The sequence below is a fragment of the Homo sapiens genome, chromosome 10, assembly GCF_000001405.40.
Source record: "Homo sapiens chromosome 10, GRCh38.p14 Primary Assembly".
Taxonomy (NCBI): domain Eukaryota; kingdom Metazoa; phylum Chordata; class Mammalia; order Primates; family Hominidae; genus Homo; species Homo sapiens.
The window spans coordinates 122,480,190-122,496,123 of NC_000010.11; the positions used below are offsets into that span (position 1 = coordinate 122,480,190).

The window sequence follows — 15,934 nt, forward strand, 5'->3', positions numbered from 1 at the left end:
GGGCATGGAGGCATTAACTTAGAGCCGAAAGGTGTGACCTTTCTTAGTGTGGCTGGCCCCACGGGGAACGTGTGTGGGTTGGAGTACAACTTGGTGTTCCTACCCATCCCAGATGCTCTGCGTTTGTGAACCCCAGTTGCCACATCAGGGCGGGCGAGGGCAGGAAGCTCTGCAGGGAGAAGGGACAAGGGACAGAGCCAAGAACAGGGGCAGTGCCCCAGGGTCCTGCAGGGGCAATGAAGGGGGTTGGCACACCTGGGTTAGTTGCTGGCCAGTGTGGGGAGAGAGCTGGCCTGGGAGTCTAATGGGAATGCCAGGGAAAGCTGCCTTGGTCCCCTAAAGTGAAGCCCCCATGCTGGCCATGGAGTGTTGGTGATTGAGGGTCCCTGCTAGTTGTCTGGCCGAGGCAGCATGTCCTATAGGCATAGCTCTGGTGTCCTGCTGGCGTGGCGTGAGTGCCCCTCATGCTGGGAGCCAGCCCTGTGCTCTGGAGGGAGGTGGTGGGAGGACAAGGGACAGTGGGACCTGCCACCTGAGCAGGAATTGGCACCTTCTCCCACTGGCAGGTCCAGGTTTTATGGAATCTGAAACTTGTACAATTCAGTATACCCTCTTCAAGAAAAACACCCCTCAAAATTATGAATATAACATTAGGTATGAAACTATTATTGATATAGATTGAAAAAAGAAAATGCCCAAAATGACAAACTTCAGAAAATAGACAAATACTGCAAACATCACAAAATCAGAAAAATAAGATTAAAAAAAGCTAACTGCTGAACACTCCGTCATCTTGAAAATGCCCCTCTCTCCTCCTCTATTTTTTGGCTGTGAACTCTTTGCTCACCTTTTCATGTGACAATGCTTTTGTAATATTTCCTACAGAGAAAATAGAATAATTTATTATTACTTTTATTGTTTTTGGATTATTATTATGATCAATTCAATATTTTTCTGCTACCCACACACTCACTGTCTTCTGTCCAACCTCTGGCCTGCACCAGGGGAACCAGCAGTTTCCCCTGCCATAGGGTGTCCCTGGAGACCACACATATAGCAGGATAGATATAGCAATTTAACTAGACACAGAAGGGACTTCAAAGCCACAAATATATCTCATTTAACCTGAACAAAATGATTATCCAGTTTTACTTTTCCCTTAGCCTCTTCCCCCAAATGCTGGCAGCCACCCTGATGGGATAGATGTGTGACAGAGGGCAAGAGACCGTGGCCCCAACCAGCTGCAGCTTCACTCTTTCATTTCTGTATACTCTCTACAAGCTGTGATGATAGCACTTTGCTAGGGCCCCTCACAGGGCAGATGGAGGGCTCCACGCTGAAGCTTTGTGGATGTTTGCTGTCTATCCACCTCTGCTCCTTGTGCCTATGCAGGGATTCAGGCCCAACCACTGCAGAGAGCCCAAGAGCATCAGGCAGAGGTTCCCAAACTGTCATGATTGGTGGCACCTTTAGTAGTTGATACGGTTTGGTTGTGTCCTCACCCAAATCTCATCTTGAATTCCCACATGTTGTGGGAGGGACCCGGTTGGTGGTAATTGAATCATGGGGGCAGATCTTTCCCGCACTGTTCTCATGATAGTGAATAAGTCTCCCAAGATCTGTTGGCTTTATAAAGGGGAGTTTCCCTGCACAAGCTCTCTCTCTGACTGCTGCCATCCATGTAAGACATGACATGCTCCTCCTTGCCTCCCACCATGATTGTGAGGCTTCCCCAGCCACGTGGAACTGGAAGTCCAATAAAACCTCCTTCTTTTGTAAATCACCCAGTCTCAGGTATGTCTTTATCAGCAGTGTGAAAATGGACTAATACAGTAGTGCAGTCATTTTTTCATGGTCCCCAGTAAGGCCAAAAAATACCCAACAGTTCCATTTATCAATTAGTGGAGGCCAAACAATTTGATAAGTATTTGTGTCCCTATAACACAGTGGTCATTAAAAAAAGACATTTTAATTTCATTATTCAATAAGCATGATTACTTATGAATGGGATATGTGCACCTGTTGGGTGTCACATGACCTTTCAAATCTTGGAGTCAGATTGGACACCACCATGCCCATTTCCAGTTCAACTCTGATTTTTGTGTGGTACATGCTTTTTATCACAGTGACTGCCAGAAATCCAACTTCATATGGAATCATGAAAAGGGATGTAGTGTGATCTGATTTCAAAACTATGATCAATCTAGAGCTAGTTTACAAGGTGTCTAACAGTGATCAAGTATCACTGTATTTCCCTAGAAAACCTGAAATATCGATGAATTTTCTGTGGCACTCTGGGGTCCCTTGGGGCACACTATGGGAACCATGGGATTAGGACCATAAGGATATGATTTTGGCTTCTTCCTGCCTCAGATCTAATCTTTACCTGGCATTTTTGCCTTAAAGATGAAAGAAGCATACATTTTGATGTATTTAAAGCACATATTCGGCCAGGTGCGGTGGCTCACACCTGTAGTCCCAGCACTTTGGGTGGCTGAGGCAGGCAGATCACAAGGTTGGAAGTTTGAGACCAGCCTGACCAACATGGTGAAACCCCATCTCTACTAAAAATACAAAAAATAGCTGGGTGTGGTGGCATGTGCCTGTAATCCCAGCTACTCAGGAGGCTGAGGCAGGAGAATCACTTGAACCCAGGAGGCAGAGGTTGCAGTGAACCAAGATTGCACCACTGCACTCCAGCCTGGGCTACAGAGCAAGACTCTGTCTCAAAAAAAAAAAAAAAAAAAAAAAAGCACATATTCATTTTGTGCTTATTCTTTTGAGAGAAACACAGATAAAAGCCTATCCTTTAATTCATACTCCCCATACTGTGATTTTCATTTTTACTGCAACAAATTTTGTTCAGTGTGATAATGAATGTCAAACACTTAATGCCTTGCTCTTTTCAGTAACATGACATATTGGAGAATAATGACTGAAGCTTATCTACACTGCCTACGTCTGTTTTCTTCCACCTTGAAAGAAGTTGTTGAAAGTAATTAAGAAGTATTATGTGTAAAACTCCAGGGATGATGTGCTTCAAGGAAGCAACATTTATGAAGTTGTGTGCTTGACTAGTAGTTTATAAAGAGGAAAGACGAATCATTTATTGTCTTGGGATTGAATCTTGGCAATTTTTAAACTATAAAGTTACAGGAAATGTTGGCTGCTCTTAATGGGCCATTTGTTGTGTTAAAAATCAGTAATGAGAAATATTTACTAGGTAAGTGGAAAGATCCATCTCTATAAATTGTTGTAACTTACCATTTTACAAATCTTAGTTACTCAGTTTTTCTGCTTAAAAATGAAATCATGTAGCACTGTATAAGTCATTCAGTTTTTTATTTTGGAGAATTACTCTGGATTGTCTAGGCTCTGTGCTCTCCACATATATTTTTGAAATAGTTTGTGAATTTCTACAAAAACTCCTGCTCAGAATTTTCACTGAGAGTATGCTTAATCTATGGGTTAATTTGTGAGAAATTGATAGCTTAACAATAGTGAATCTTCTGATCTACAAGTGTGGTATTTCTCTCCATTTATTTAGGTCTTCTTTATTTTGATAGCGTTTTGTAGCTTTCAATGTACAGATCTTGCAAATATCTTGTTAAATATTTCCCTAATTACTTGATATTTATTTTTGATGCTGTTATAGTTATATTTTAAAAATTTTGATTCCAATTGTTGCTAATACATAGAAATGAAATTATTTATTGACCTCTTATCCTGTGACATTGATAAACGCAGTCATATATTCGTAGATTTCTAGAATTTTTCTATATAGACTATCATATATATCATCTGCAAATAAAGACGGTTTTACATTTTCCTTTCCAATCTCTATGCCTTTTGTTTCTTTCTCATGCCTCATTGTGTGGTCCATTACTGAACGGCAGCCAGTTCCAGCTTTCTGTTCAATTAAGGAGCAGGTAAAATGGCCAGGCCTTGACCTTTCAGGGGGCTTCCCGTCCTCATTGCCTTCTGCTGCCTCAGTTCTGGCTTAACAGAACAGTGTGGGGAGGAGGCATGGTCCTTACCTACTAGGGCGTTACTTGGCCTTCTTCAGGTTGGTTGCTTCGTCAGGTTTAAGAGCTCACCTGGGCTGCAGTTCAGGCTAGGTTATCTGCTGACCTGGCCCTGTCTCCCTTCTGTAGTGTCTGTGGGGTACCCTTGTAAGCTAGGGAGAAGAGACACACGTGAAGGCCAGAAAAAACAGCCTGCCACACAGCTTCCCTGGATCATACCTTCGCAGTGACATGACGACGTCGTTAGGAGGCGCCGAGGTGGCTGAGTGGGTCTCCAGACACCTCCCTTTACCTCTCTGCTGTGCCACTGATGTGTGACTTGCTTACACCTATGCAGAGCTGCCACTGAGCAGCACTGTGGCCAGTCCTTTGGATTTTCTTCTTTCTAAATTGTATGCCGTGGCTTGATCAAGCATTTCATATACAGTAGATCATGAAATCAGCATAGAAAACACATTGAGGTAGGTGGTGTTACCACATTTTATGGATGAGAGGCTAACACTTGGAGGAGTCAGGTAACATGTCCAAGGCCACACAGCTAGTGAGTACCCTGCTGAGGGTCACACTCTGGTCCATCTGAGGCCAGAGCCTGTGCCAGCCTTCTCCTCATGCTGATAGACGAGGAAACAGAAAGAAGGAGCAGTGGACGCCCCCACCCTCTGTCCCCTGAACCCCTTGGAGAGTAGGCAGTGGCAGAGCCAGCCTGGGCCCATCTATGGGAATTCTCCATCGGGATTGACTCCTCTGGAAGGAAGACAGTTGACCCACAGTTGAGATCACAGCAGATGGGCCAGCCAGGGTGTCTGTAGACCATCAGGCAGTGGCCACTCCATGTAGTTTAATGGACAAGCCCTTTTAATGGAACAGGAATCTAACACTGAACCAAGCTGCTTTTAGACACACTTTTATTCCTCACTCTGAAATGGCGTTTGGACAAGCCAAATATTTCTTCTTCTTTCAGTTGACATTTTGTCCATCTTTGAACTGTTAGTTGATGCTTCTTCTGTTTAGTTATTCCTGTTCTATTTTCCTGTTGCCACTAGTCCACCCAGGGATGGTAAGAATGGAAGTCAATGGTTGCTTTTTCATCTGAGATGCACCACGAAGGCTTGTCAGTCAGCCTTGTCATATGGTCTGTGCTCCCACTGCTCCTTCTTTCTGTTTCCTCATCTGCAGAATTTGGAGAGTCCTGGACCTGATCTCAAATTTCACATGTTATTTATCTTCCTGCAGCACGCTGGGGAGAGGAAGAGACAGGGACATAGAAGGTTGGAGCTGGAACAGACTTCACATCTCATTCCAGAGGCATTTGGTCCATCTTACAGATGAGGAAATGGAGGCTGCTCAGTGGACTGAGGCTGGAACTGGGCCTTCCAGTGGCCAGGCCAGATCCTCCTTGATCTCCCTTGTTGCTTTCCTGGTGGGAAGACCCTGGAACCACTTTATGTGACTGTGTGAGAAGGGAACTGCCTCTCATTTTACCCAGCAAAATCCACCTTCAATCCATCTTCATTTTTGCCCCTGGTGTGGGCAAATTCTCCCATACCTAATTCAGGAAGCCAGAAAGAGGAAGTGAGTTAATGATCCTTAGTGGGAAGGCGCTGGTAATGGTCCTTCTTGTGAGAGTTTCTGAAACACCACGCTGTCTCTGTGTTCTGGCCTGGCTGGAGTTAAACCTCTTCTTGGCCTTTCCCCAGGAAGCTGGTCTGAGGAAGCCCAGATGCGTTTGTTTACAGCTGTCTGGTGACATTCGCCAGGCTCTGTTTTCAGAAGGAACATTTCCATTCCCTTATTTACACCTCCCATTGGAGTGCTCGGGGGGACACACCAATTATTTGCAACTACCTGGAAACCTAGGAGGGTAGCAGATCTGTAGGAGGCCAGTGTTGAAGTGAGAAGCTGTAGATCTGGTGACACTGTGGGCTTGGGAGGGCTTGCCCAGATCTGTTACTTATACTCTCTATTAAGAAACTTCAGTGTCCATGGAGAAGTTATTTAAAGTCTGCGAGCCTCAGTTTCCCCATATATAATATGGGAAGGATACCTGATTTTCCTATTCCACATGAAGGTAGAAAAAATTAAATTAAGGCAGCCAATGAAAGGGTTTTGAAAGCAAAAATAATAATATGATACTGTTCTGAATTTGTTAAATTATTCTTCCAAGTAGTTGCAGATCTTTTTCTGTACCTTAGAAAAAAACCATGCTATGTAAAAGGAGATGATTCCAATCTTTAAATAAAGCAACTCAGAGGTCAGGGGCTAGGACAGAAAACGGCCCTTTGTTCACAGAAGCGCTCTCACTTCCAAGAAAGCAAGCGTGGGAGAGGCAGGTGGTCCTCCCGATGTCCCTGTGCCCCATGGTGTCAAGCTGGGTTACTATGGCCCTTCGTGACCCAGTGCAGCAGGGATGTGGGAACCAGTGGGTGTGAAGCTGTGACGGGTCACAAGAGGGCTGGGACGTCTCACAGCTTTTACTTATAGCCTAGAGCCTGGGGAAGGGTTGCCACTCTAGTGATGAGAGAGGCGTGTGTGTGTGTGTGTGTATGCGTCTGTATGTATGTGTGCATTTGCATGTATATATGTGTGACTGTATGTATGTGCACATCTGTGAGTATATGAATGTGTGTGGAAGTGTGTATAGGTGTTTATGTGACAGTTTGTGTGTAAATGTGGGTGTATGTGTGGGTGTGTTTATGCATGTACATCTGTGGGTGTGTATGCATAGTGTGTATGTGTGAGTTTGTGTGTGTGTGTGCATTTGCATCTCTGTGTATATATGCATGTGTGTTAGGGGCAGGCACACAGGCCTGTTGGTAAATGAGACACAAAATACCTACAAAATACAAAATGTGAGACAGGAAATACAAGCCCCAGTTACTCATTTTTCAGTGCAACAGACATAAGATTACCATGTGAAATTGCTATGAAAGTTTCCGAAAGCTTCCTGTCAATTCGTAGTGAGCAGCTAGCAGAGGAGTGCGGGTCCCTGGAGCCTGCTTGTGCAACGCTGAGCTAGTCCAAGGGGGAAGAATGGGGTGCATGGCTCTCAGCTGCAGACCAGCCTGGAACCTCTCCAGCCTGCTTTAGCAGAGACTTGTTAAGAGGTAGCAGCAGGTGGCAAGATTAGGAGCCGGAGTAGTAGGCTAAGGCTGCACTTCCAGGGACACACTGCCTCTGCCACCACCCGTGCCACGAAAATGGGAGCCCAGGACCCTGAATCTCTAGCAGTCCGTTTCTGAATCAGTTACCTTGGGTATGTGCCTCTGGTTGATGGAAACTAACTTGTAGCCCTGCTGGGTGAGAGCCTCACATCGGGACATGTGACAGCTTTGTTGAAAGTAGCTTTGGAAACGCCCACCACGTGGGGCCACTCACTGTAATATAAACGGTCATGCATCACTGAGCAACAGGGATACGTTCTGAGAAATGCGTCGTTAGGCGATTTCATCACTGTGGGAATGTTACAGAGTGTGCCTACGCAAACCTAGATGGCAGAGCCCACTCCACACCTAGGCCAGATGGCAGAGCCTGTTGTTTCTAGGATGCACGCCCGTACAGTAGGTTACTGTACTGAATACTGTAGGCAGTTGTAACAATGGTGAGTATTTGTGTATTCAAACATAGAAAAGGTATAGTAAAAACAATGGTGTTATGGTCCGCGGCTGGCTGAAACGTTATGTGGTGCATGACTGTAGGTATAAAGCATTACAGTTGTTTGATTTTTCTCTTTTTCTCACCCACAGTCTTAAGGCACCTCTTATGCCTTTTGTCTGGGATGTCCCGGGCAGGGTTGGAACGTGTGGTTAAGGCATGGCGGAAACTGCTTTGGGGACAGACGATGGCCTCAGCTTGCCTTGGGGTGTCAGTGGGAAAGATAGGAGCTGCCCCTTTGCCTTCGTGTTTCTTCGTAATAATCTCAGATGTACCCGTCTGGTGGGCCTCTCCTAGAAAAAGCCCCGGTGCTCTTTGCTCCTGCGGTGTTTCTCAGGAGGGTTGTTGCTTCTTTGTAATGGTGGGGACTCAGGGAAGGGACGCAGGCAGAGGGTGATGCCACATCAAAAAGGGACCCTTGGCTGGGTGTGGTGGCTTACGCCTGTAATCCTAGCACTTTGGGAGGCCGAGGCAGGTGGATCACCTGAGGTCAGGAGTTCGAGACCAGCCTGGCCAACGTGGTGAAACCCGGTCCCTAGTAAAAATACAAAAATACAAAGGTGGTGGGTGCCTGTAATCCCAGTTACTCAGTAGGCTGAGGCAGAAGAATCGCTTGAACCGGAGAGGTGGAGGTTGTGATGAGCCAAGATTGCGCCATTGCACTCCAGCCTGGGTGACAGAGTGCGACTCCATCTAAAAATAAACTGAAAAAAAACAAAAAACAAACTTGGGCCATCAGCTTCTTGGAAAGGCTGGTGTGAGGTTGAAGCATTTGCTGGTGCCTCTGCTCAACGTTTTTGTGGTGAACCTGAGCAAAGAGGTTATCATTAGTGGATTTTACTGCCTTACCTGGGTGGGCACTCCCTTGGGAGGTGGATGGACATTTGCAGCTGAGCCCAGGTGGGGGAATTGCGCTCACTCCGCCTTCAGAATTCCAAAGGCTGGGCATGCATCTTGGCTTCCTCTAACCCATGTCTTTCTCTAGGTGGCCACAGCAGAGTGTCATTAAGTATCTATTCTTTGCTTTTGTTCTCAGGGCAGGAAGATCCCAACAGTTTGCGCCATAAATATAACTTTATCGCGGACGTGGTGGAGAAGATCGCCCCTGCCGTGGTTCATATCGAATTGTTTCGCAAGTAAAGAGAGCCTTCCTTTTTCCTATAACCTCCGAAGCTTTCACCGCCACTAGCAAAACATGAGAGCTATTTTTGAGATACATTAAAGTGTCAAAGTGTCACTGAATATCTTCCTACTTAAGATAAGTGTGTCTCCCTTAGAACATTTTCCCTATTCGACTATATAAATCTACATTCTTGACCCTTCTGAATGTTTAAAGAACCTCGGGCTCTGAAGAGATTCTCTAAGAATATTTTGTAAGTGGAAGTTTTTGATGCATGCAAAAAATTGGCAGGATGTTTAGTGTTTAAATGCTAAGCCCGATATATAAAGGAGCGATGGCTAGGTGTGTGTGGCTGTTGCACAACCCATTAATCAATGCGTTGAAGCGTTCATTTTAAGGTGCTACAGGCTTAAGTGTGTACTCCTTTGGATTTTAGGCTTCCGTTTTCTAAACGAGAGGTGCCGGTGGCTAGTGGGTCTGGGTTTATTGTGTCGGAAGATGGACTGATCGTGACAAATGCCCACGTGGTGACCAACAAGCACCGGGTCAAAGTTGAGCTGAAGAACGGTGCCACTTACGAAGCCAAAATCAAGGATGTGGATGAGAAAGCAGACATCGCACTCATCAAAATTGACCACCAGGTAAGGGTGTTCTCGCCTGCAGAGGTGAGTTCTCAGATGCCCCGGAACACCCTTGGCAAAGGCACCAGAGCTCTCTGATTGCAGCTGATTCTCGGGGGGCACTGAAGCCAGTCTGAGCCAGTCACAGGAGGGCCTTGAGGAGATGCTGAGTATGGCCTGGGGGTGTGGGAGAGGAAGGGGCTCAGGAAAACTTCTGTAAGGAGCCAGATAAAAGTTTTTAAAATAATGTTTTAAATGTTTGTCAAAGAAAGCAATAGATTTGTAAAGAAATTAGTAGGTAAGTAGTGAAAATTGATTCTCCTTCCCATTCCCAATCCTGTGGCAACTCTTGTTACAGATTTTATTTATCCTCCACAGATACATCATGCGTTCACAATGAACATAGAATTTACTGGGTTTTAGACTGAGCCATCCTTAACTTGTCAACAGTTACTTTGAAAACAAACCAGCTCTCCCAAATTGGGGTTTTGCGGGGTTATGAGATGTGTTTCAAAAGAATGTTTCGTACTTTAAACATCTTGGAAAACTTGAATTAAAACAGAGCTAATGGATTTCTTCTTTCCAGACCTTCTCAGAGCTTTTAGTATGCTAGTGTGCACGTGGCTTGCCTACAAAAGGGTGTTGACTGAACTATTTGCCCAAATTATAATCATTTGAGTATACAGCTTTTTGTGGGGGCAGGCAGAACTGAGACATACCAAAATCAGTTTGGGAAATGCTGTATTTGAAAATGCTTTCTATTTAAATATTCTCTTTGCAATCATTTTTGCTCTGTTGATTTGCTTAGCAAAGTCTTCATGTCTGGGACAATATCCATTTCTTACTGACTCATCAAAAACCCCCACTCGACACGTCGATGAGAGAGGTTTTGTTTGCTGTGTGGCATGTTCAGTGAAAGCGTGGTTTCCAGTTTCTTCACATCCTTATAATTTTCTAGACTTCAGATGGAGGGAACAATCAGAGGAGGCTGGAATCCTGCCTCTGACCAAGGAAAAGACCAGAGGCTGAGCCAGGTGGGGTCTCTTGTCCAGCCCTCTGCTTGCCTCGCTTTACCTGGGTGTGGGCTGAGTAATTCCAGACAAGCGTGGAATTAATCTGGCTGTTTGTGCTGTTCAGTGGCACGCTGGTTACACCTCCTTCTGGAAACAACTCTGCGTGTGCTGTTTGGGTGGTAGGATTCCGGGTCTCCTTCTCCGTCTTTTTATAACATCAAGTTGCTGCCCAGCTCAGGCTCCTTTACGGCCAGTCTTCAGAAAACCACCAGCTAACACATTTACTACCCTCCTTCCCCGATGTTCCTGTAGCTTCTCTATGGCTGGGTGGCCAGGCATGGCCGAAGAGGCTCTGGGTAGATATAGGCTCTGTGCCCGGTGTGTGTAACTGGCCTTGAGTGAGGCTGCAGTTGTGTGTTATTTCTATTAGGTCACTGTGGAATTTCTAGCGACAACTAATCTTTCAAAGTGTGTTTATTGGTCACAGGATTATTGGGCCAGCCTCTGCCTTCATTCTTTTTCACCTAATCTGCATAATAGCTGTGTTATCCCCATTTTAGAGAAGAAGAAACAGGGGCTCAGAGAAGTCTAGTAACCTGTGTGAGGCCACACAGCAAACACCTCATGACCCTGCCCTCCTAAGGCAGCCCATGGCTACTGCTGGAGGGATAGAGGCCGGCCCCGTGGTTTGATGGGACAGCTTGACCTTAAACAGCCCATGGGAAGGCGGGTGCATCTGGTTTAGGAACAGGCTGCTAGAAAGGTATCCAGGATGTGGTAGTCTCACCGGAAGGAGCCAGTCAGAATAGCACAGCCTGTGGCCACGCGTGGGACCTGTTCAGCCTCATGGAGCTTTGGGAGGCAGCCAGCAGCAGGGCATGGGCTGTGTGCAGGCGAGGCGCTGGCCTGGACGCCGCCCCCACTGCGTAACTTCGTGTTTGGAATGCGTGGGCACATACCGTGCGGCTGCTTCTGGCCGGGGGATATTCTTTTCCAATTTTGAGCCAAGGTGGAGACTGTCTCCTCGTGCCATCCCTGGCATGTCCTGGCAAGACGTGAACGATCTCAATAGACGAGCTTTGCAGAGTGTGTCTGACCTGACTCCTGCTGTCTTGGGAGTTTAGCTCTTCAGCCAGCAGCATGCTGTTTGACATGTGTTTCAAGCCCCCCAAGAAAGGGTGCTTGAAATTTAAAATTGAACTGATGTGGCTTTTCAAAATGGAATTGGAAATGAAAGGATATTAAATTGCAGACACCCACACAAAAGACTGGTTTCCACTGACTAAACTGCTTTTTTTTGCTGATAGTAGTTGAAAGTAGGGAGAGTAACAGCATCTCTTCCAGCTTTTTCTCTTTTGTTCCCTTGTTTTGATGATGGGTTATTTCGGGGGAAGCTCTGGCTGGCCTTGCTTTGTGTCATCTTAGGGATAACAAAGAGGATGAAAGAGATCAGGAAAACCGAGAAGGCAGAACAGAACCAGCAGAAACTGTGCTTGAGGAATGAAAATCACCTACACGGCTCCTTGTCATATGAGACTGTGGCCCAGCCTCCTGCAAAGCCATTTAAGAGTAACCCAGTGAAGCTGGTGAGACTGCCTGCCGCGTCCGTGGGCCCAGTGACTAACTCGGTGGCTTATCATCTGGGCCCAGCTCCTCCCCTGGCATCCTGATTTCACTTGGAGGGGCCCCCGTTGTCCTTCATAAACATGTTTATTTCATTTTATTTTTATGTTTTGAGACAGAGTTTTACTGTTGCCCAGGCTGGAGTGCAGTGGCGCCATCTCCGCTCACTGCAACCTCCACCTCCAGGACTCAAGTGATTCTCCTGCCTCAGCCTCCTGAGTGGCTGGGACTACAGGCGTGCACCACCATGCCTGGCTACTTTTTGTATTTTTAGTAGAGACCGGGTTTTGCCATGTTGGCCAGGCTGGTCTCAAACTCCTGACCTCAGGTGATCCACCTGCCTCAGCCTCCCAAAGTGCTGGGATTACAGGTGTGAGCCATTGCGCGTGGCTGTAAACGTGATATTCTTGAGACTTTCAGTGAAATAAGAATTGCCACGGACATCTGTGGTCATTGTCCACTTGCCACTCACCTACCCCCTTTTCTGGCAGCAACAGCCGGCATTTCACATGTCCATCATCGGACAGCGTAGGTGGGACCATCAGTCATGGTGTCCTACCCTCTGTGGCCAAGGAGTGGACACAGGACCCAGTTAGGGCAAGCAGAGGCTCCCCTTGGAATCGCAAAGTGAAGCTGGATGCCACCCACAGAGACTAACATGGTGAAGCTGCTGTAGCCCCTGCTGTTGAGCCCCCAGCACTGCCTGAGTTCTTGCACTTTGTGAGTCCAGTTTAATATCTGCTTTTCCTCCCATTCTTGGAGCTCCCCTCACATCTCCAGTGGCTTGAAGTTGCCAGAGATGTTTCTGGGCTTGTGACCAAATGACTCCTTTTCTGCTTCTCACTGCTGAGCAGACACATGTGCGCTCACTTTGCCTGCTGAGTCTTGGGACCCGGAAGAGCTTTTGGGAGACAATCACGGACCAGCCCCCTCTTGCCTGCCCTGCTGTCTCCCTCCAAGCAGGAGGTGAGAAGGTGTCCACCTGCAGCCCCGGCCAGGCATCCCTTTCTGTGCTTCTGCCCAAATCTGAAATTCCCCTCTCCTTGGGACCCACGACTGGGGCCAGCCTGCCTGGGGAGGGAATCCCAGCTGCAGAAAGTCGGGACAGTGTGCGTGTAAACATGTTAATAGAAAGCAGCTTTGAGGGCAGACTAGTTCAGCTTCAGTTACAAACTCTTTCCAAATGCGTTTAACATGAGCCACTGGCTGTGCGCAGCATATGTCAAGCTTTCATCCAATGGTGGCATTTTGTCCCTGCGGGGTTTTTTTTTCCTGAGCAGTTTGGGGCAGGGGTGGGGACAGGGAGAGAGAAAAGTAAAAAGAGAGCAGTTTGGTTTCTTCAGGCTGGAGTACAAGGCAGAGGTAATGGGATGTATTGAAGAAGGTAGGAGGGAAAGTTACTTTAGCTACAGCTATTTGTCCAGCTGTGCTGATTAAGAAACTTGGAGAAAAGCATCTTTGGAATCATGTCCTTCCCATCTTATATACAGCCTTTGCAGATTTCCTGCTGTTCTGAGAGAGATCTGAACTCCTTACCAGGACCTTGAGGGCCCCACCTGATTGGGCACCCCTCACTCTCTCTGCCCCTCCTCCCCTTCCCCTCCTCCCCTCCTTTCTCCACCCCCACCTGCTCTGCTCAGACACCCCTTCCTTGGTTGCTTCCCACAGGCCAGGGCTGTCCCCTGGGGCCTTGGCTGTTCCCCTCCCAGGAGCGCCCCTCTCCAGCTCCTCATGCAGCCAACCTTCCTGTCCTTCAGGCCTCTGATTAAATTCTGCCTTAGACATCTCTCCCCACCCCGCTGTGTGAGGTAGCGCCCCATGCCCCAGTCCCCTCAACTCCACTGCCTCACTTTGGGGACACATCACCCCAGGGACAACTGCATTCCACTCTTGGTTTTTCCCTCCTCGTCTATTTATCACAATTTAGAGTCGCCTCACTCATTTGTCAAATGAAGTTCATCTCTGCAGCTGGACTGCGGGGTTGGGGGCACATCCGGCTGTCGGTCCTCAGGTAGGAGGTGCTTGGCAACCTTGTTCAGAGTAGGACGTTCACAGCTGTCTGCCCCGGAGGAAGCAAGGGCACCCGCCACATGGATGGAATTGAGGGGAAGGCACCCGGGGCTCCTGCATCGAGCTTCCCTCCTATATTCAATGAGGAAATGACCCTGCAGAAGGCTGGCTGCAGATGCCCCTGCCTCCCGGCTTTGCCTGCTTGGAGTTTGATGGACACGTGGTCCTGTCAGGGCTACAGCAGGTCTATGGTCTTTGGTAACGGAAAGCGCTGGTGAAACAGTGAGCTTTCCCGTGGGTGCTTTTCCCTGACGCCAACAACCAGGTAAATATTTGGAAACGGCCTTGTTGAGGCTTGTGAGGTGGTTTTCCTCCCTCCCCTGTAGGCCTGCGCCACCCCCCCAACCCCACGGCCACCTTTGGGCCAGATGGCACCCACAGACCTGTTTGAAGTGGCCACAGAGGGAGCCCTCTGGGCGCTGGGGCCGCTGTGTTTGCAGAGGGTCCTCTTACTGCTGAGCTGGCTGGTGCAGTGAGAAGGAAGGCCGACACCCCTGATCCTCATCAAGTTCAGACGGGGGTCACTGCGGGTGAGGGGCCTGGGGCCTTTTACATGTCCCGGGAGCTGCTGAGCAGGCCACTCTTCTCCAGGCCACCAGAACTTGGCCCTGCGCATGGTGAATCTTCCCTGAGTCAGCTGAGTGAGGGGGTTCAGGCAGCCCCCCGGGACATGGCAGTGGCGGGGAGTGGACTGGGGTGGTGCTTGCCATGACTCACGCCGGTTCTCCTCAGGCAACCGGATGGTCAGATGCGCTGACTCAGTGGCCTGAGCTCGTCCAAAAGCGAATCAGAGAACACAGGGCCTGGGCTCACCCGCTGCCCTCTTCTGGAGTCATCTGTCACTCATCCTCATGAAGGAAGCGCCTGGGAGCCTGGAATGCACATCGCACTGCCCCAGCTCCCCTCTTGTTTCTGTGTTTTTCCATTTTGGATTCTTTCCCCCAACGCCTTCTGTACTGGGCATTTTGTGGTCTCTTCTTTTTCTCCGAGAACTCTGAGGGCTACCATTGCATTTGCTAATGATGCCACAGACGGTGTTGACGTTATGAGGCTTCTATTACTGTATTGATTTTTACCATTTTTAGGGGGACGGGAATCAATATTTCATGAGGGAATGTGAAGCCAGACAGTGAAGTAGAAGCTGGCTTTTATTTTGTGCCAGGCTTTGTCCAGAGGCGGGTGGGGACGTGGCTCCTAAGCTCTTGATTGCAGCTCCTTCTGGCTTGGGAAACGTTTCAGTTCCCCAAACTCTCAGAACTGGATCCCCTGTGTGTTCTCTGGCCCGGATTCAAGAACTTAGTTGATTGTCAAGGAAATTCTTTGGCTATATTTTTCTCTTAATATGGTAATGCCTTTTTTCACTCTGGCACTCTCTTTTCAGGGAATTGGATTAAGACTATTATTTATGGGTCTGACAAAGCAGTTCCCAAGTTGTTGGGACTGGATTTGTTTAGGAATGTCTCCTGTCCTCTTCATTGAGGGGGGAATACAAATTGCTTCCATTTGACAGTTTATCAAGTGTGTGACAGAGTATCAGAGTCCAGGGTTGGCCAACTACAGCCAGTAGTCCAAAGCTGGCCCTCTGTTGTTGTAAATAAAGTTTTATTGGGACATGGTCATGCTCACTTATTTAGGTAGAGTGTATGGCTGCATTCAGTCTACACCAGCAGAGTTAAATAGTTGTGATGAAGACCACGTGGCCCGTGAAGCCAAAAATATTTGCTTCCTGGCCCTTTACAGGAAAAAAATTCCCAGCCCCAGTGGCAGGCAATTAACACCTTGTCCTCGAGGAGCTGAAAGTGGCTGGAGGCA

At 47.7% G+C, this 15,934-nt stretch overlaps 1 protein-coding gene across 1 annotated transcript in view, besides 1 other annotated feature; it reads left to right on the forward strand.

The window, feature by feature from the left end:
* Positions 1–15,934, forward strand: part of HTRA1 (HtrA serine peptidase 1) — a 53,355-nt gene that overhangs the window by 18,637 nt on the left and 18,784 nt on the right. Inside the window, exons 2-3 of the mRNA NM_002775.5 lie at positions 8,713–8,812; positions 9,233–9,437. Of these exons, the coding sequence (NP_002766.1) occupies positions 8,713–8,812; positions 9,233–9,437 (305 nt within the window). The remainder of the gene's footprint in view (positions 1–8,712; positions 8,813–9,232; positions 9,438–15,934) is intronic.
* Positions 14,268–15,467: an enhancer, noted in NCBI's record as "CDK7 strongly-dependent group 2 enhancer chr10:124253973-124255172 (GRCh37/hg19 assembly coordinates)". NCBI's record gives its function as "activates an origin of replication core promoter dependent on BRD2, BRD4, P300/CBP, MED14 and CDK7 cofactors, with strong dependence on CDK7, by STARR-seq in HCT116 cells {active_cell/tissue: HCT116}" and the evidence as "EXISTENCE:reporter gene assay evidence [ECO:0000049][PMID:35650434]".